Consider the following 4,201-nt stretch of genomic DNA (forward strand, 5'->3'; position numbering starts at 1 on the left):
TATGTAGAAGCTGTGAGAGGAATGAGTTGGTTTGCACAACTATTGAAGAGTTGTGAGACTTGAGAAACAGTGAGAGTAAACAGATCAGAGAAAACAACCACCAGAGGGCCTTATGCCTGGAGAAATGGCAGAGAAAACCTTACTGGCCTTACCTTCAGTGTGCCCCCACCCCATGGGAAAGAGGAGGTTAGGATTGCATCATACCTGGTGGAAGTTTTTGTATCTTTAAGAGTAAGTCCGCAATGTTGCCAGTGTCTGTCTGCAGATTGGCTACCCAACTGTTGCATCAGTACCCCATTCTATCATCAACGGGTACAAACGAGTCCTGGCCTTGTCTGTGGAGACGGATTACACCTTCCCACTCGCTGAAAAGGTCAAGGCCTTCTTGGCTGATCCATCTGCCTTTGTGGCTGCTGCCCCTGTGGCTGCTGCCACCACAGCTGCTCCTGCTGCTGCTGCAGCCCCAGCTAAGGTTGAAGCCAAGGAAGAGTCGGAGGAGTCGGACGAGGATATGGGATTTGGTCTCTTTGACTAATCACCAAAAAGCAACCAACTTAGCCAGCTTTATTTGCAAAACAAGGAAATAAAGGCTTACTTCTTTAAAAAAAAAAAAAAAAGAGTAAGTTATGAGGTGTAAATCCCTCTCCATTACTACCACCTCATCTTAAGTGAAAACTGTAGACTTCACTTACACTTTTGGTGTCAGAGGCTCTTTTGGCCAAATAGCAAGGGAGTTATAGCAGTGCATAGAATCTGAAACAGGTTAAAATTGTACATGGCACGAGGGGACAGCTGACATCTGGATTACATATTTTATATGTCTTTTTAAATTCCCAAATCTGTGAGATTCAGACCACAAGGGAATATGTCTGATTCATCCCTATATCTTCAGTTCTAGAAATGTACTTGGGATGTAATTATACAACCATTAATTATCTGGAAGTCTTGTTGGATGAACGTGCTTCACACCAGAAGATGTGACTAGTGAAGCTGACTTTAAATACATACTAAAGATACAATGAAGAAATCTGTAGATTAGGTTGGATGGTACTCAAGCTCTATCTCTCCTTTGTTAAAATAAAGAACAAAGTATCAGCTATTCTCTAGTTTAGTGCAATGCTGATGTTAAAATCTCCATCGTGATAAGCAGGTGTCCCTAACATCTAATTCCCAGGAAGTGACTTACATACTGAAAATATGCTTGCTCATGTTACAACTCCTGTTTGTTTTCTTTTTTTGCAATATACTAATAAGTGTCACTTTGGAAAAATCACACACAATTTATTTTAGTCTTTGCAATGAATTGAAACTGAGGCATTATGGAGTGCTTGCAAGGATTCCTCATTTTTGAATTTGATGCTCTCAGCGTTTAAATGACACCTCTTGAAAGGATTCATACCTTTTTTGAAAAAAAGGCCAATTTCAGATCTGTAAAGAGAATATGGAAAAATTAATGCCTCTGAAAGAAATCTTGAGACACAAGATTGGTCTATAGAAACAGATCATGTAGTACAATCTTATTTCTATTCCACTAACCTCTTGTCTGTATCTCAGATTGTTTTTGATAGAACACTCTACTGATGTAAATGCAAACATCCAAGAGAAAATACACTATTTTTACGATCAGAAGAAACAGATTTCCCATAAAAAATGGGGTTCACTGAATTTCTAGGCACACAGAATTTTTTATTATACATGAATTTTTAATGAATCAACATTCAGAAAAGGGGTTCCATGGGGCTGAAGGGAATATAATGTGTCAGATTATATGGAATGAGTGAGGGATAATGATGGTAATAATCATAGCTGAAATTTAACCTGGGTTTTTCTTCTAAAGAGCTCAAGGCATTTCACATATATGGAGAATTATTTTTCACCCTGTAGGAAGAGTATTTTCAGGAGGATGCTGACCCATCAGGAGGCCATAGAGAAATAGTTTCATTATCCCTTGGTGCCAGGCTGTGTAAGAAGAATATTTTTCCTTCCAGGGCCTGAGATGAAGTGAAACATACATAGTCATTTTGATCATATAGCCGTAGAGTCCCTGGAGTCCCATTTCAGGGTCTGCAAGGGATTTAAGTAAAAACACCAAGAGTATATAAATATGAAAATTCTGCTAAGACATTTTCTCCTTCTTACAGAATTCTGAAGGTTCACTTCCCTTAGCCCTAATAATCTGTCCTCCTAATGGGCTTTTTTGAGGTGATACTGAACTAAGAACATACATTCTAGCCATTTTCCAAGACTAGCCTCAATCTGGGCTATAGAAAGAGGGCAGGCTTAGAGCCAAAGAATCATAGTATTTAAAGTGGACAGTAGAATATGTTTTAAACAATCAGTTCCTGAGGTGAGAAAACAGATTAATCAAAGGGAAAGTGTTTGTTTAAAATCATTCAAATCTTCAGTGTATGGATGAGAATGAATGCCGGTGTTCTTCCTCCTCCTTTGAACAGTTAGAGAGGGCAGGACTTTGAAGGAAAATCACTAACTCTATTAGCTTATATGGCATTTGAGCCAAACAACCCATAAGGCATGTATTAAAGTCCTTTCTATTTTATAGAGTAAAGTGTGAAAGGATTATGAGATTTGTCCTCACTTCTCCAGCTCCTTCCATGTTATACTTGCCATGTGCTTATGGACACACTATTCCAGAAGGGCTGCCCCTCTTCTTCCCTAGAGGGAGAAGTCATTCATTATATCAATTTATTTGCTATTGTCAGTTTGAACTCCAAATGAGTAAATGAAGTACTTTTCTTTAATAAAGAGGTAATTTGCACAAATTTAGTATGAGGATCTTCTCTAGAATATCCCTAACATCTCTTTCCCTTACGTCTAAATGGACACCTCCAAAGATGAGCATTCTTTTCATTAAAAGGACGTGATAGTAATCACCAGAGCATTCTTAATGTTAATGTTTAAACATTCCTCATTATAATGAGCTGCTACTGCTTGACTTCCTCTCACATGTAACCACTGGCCCCAGTTTTGACCTCTAGGGTAATACAGATTAAAAAAATTATTGCTTGAAAAGTCATTTTTGTATCTGAGGACAGCAACCTCATCATTCTTCTAATTTATCTATTGTCCAAGACCACGTATTTCAAAAGAAAAAAAAAATCAGGTGCCCCCACCCCATGTTTAATTTTGAATTAAACTTAGGAAAAAATAACCAAGTCTCCCATGTATATCAAAGGCCTTTAAGAGAAGTGGTAGGTAGCCTCAGTGTCTTTTAGCATGAGGCATGGAGAACCCATCAAATATCCAGTCACTGCCATCTGTTGCCATGAACACATTTGCCTTATGAATTATTTCTTGTGTAGTATTTGTAAACTCAGAAGATTGGATCAGATAGTTATTATGTCTCCCAATTCTACATGTCATGCCTTCCCCCTTTATTTAGGAAAAGAAGTGCCAGGTTTACTGCCTCCTTGGAATTCTATTTTGTTCATATTAATAGGTAGTAGCTTTAATCCATGCATACCAAGTAAATTTTAAAGCATCTTGAAGATAAATACCTTGAACAAGCTATAATAGGATCTTAAAGTACCGACGAATCCAAAAATGAACAACAAGAAATACTCTGCCTATAGACATTTCCTGAAATTTTAAACAAATCTGAATCAAATAGAATAAACAGATTTTTGGACCTGTGAAGGCTCCAAAGACAGCATATTTTGTTAGTCCAAGACAGCATACTTCATTACGTTAACAAAAGCAGTCTATATGGTTTGTTTGCTTTGGGGGATGTACAAATTAATTTTCTAATATTATTATTATTATGTTGAGATGGAGTCTTGCTCTGTCACCCAGGCCGGAGTGTAGTGGCACGATCTCCACTCACTGCAACCTCCATCTTCTGGGCTTAAGCAATTCTCCTGGCTCAGCCTCCCCAGTAGCTGGGATTACAGGTGCCCACCACCATGCCCAGCTAATTTTTGTATTTTTGTAGAGACAGGGTTTAACCATGTTGGCTAGGCTGGTTTCAAACTCCTGACCTCAAGTGATCCACCCACCTCAACCTCCCAAAGTGCTAGGATTACAGGCTTGAGTGACCGTGCCTGACCTCTAATATTATCTTATATAAGGTTAATGGTTCAATGTTGTCTGTACGAGTATCATACTTAAAGTGAGGCTAGGTCTGAATTGCAGCTCTCCTTAGGGGAAATGTTGATTAAATACAAGGGTCATGGACTTATTTAAA

At 38.4% G+C, this 4,201-nt stretch overlaps 1 pseudogene, besides 1 other annotated feature; it reads left to right on the forward strand.

The window, feature by feature from the left end:
- RPLP0P9 (ribosomal protein lateral stalk subunit P0 pseudogene 9) lies at positions 236-606 on the forward strand (annotated as a pseudogene).
- Positions 3,111-3,280: an enhancer, noted in NCBI's record as "experimental_83529 CRE fragment used in MPRA reporter constructs". NCBI's record gives its function as "activates a minimal promoter by MPRAs in K562 erythroleukemia cells, with activity observed for both the introgressed and non-introgressed 5:165812270 variant alleles {active_cell/tissue: K562}" and the evidence as "EXISTENCE:reporter gene assay evidence [ECO:0000049][PMID:34662402]".

The sequence above is a fragment of the Homo sapiens genome, chromosome 5 (assembly GCF_000001405.40).
Source record: "Homo sapiens chromosome 5, GRCh38.p14 Primary Assembly".
In the NCBI taxonomy this organism is placed as follows: Eukaryota; Metazoa; Chordata; class Mammalia; order Primates; family Hominidae; genus Homo; species Homo sapiens.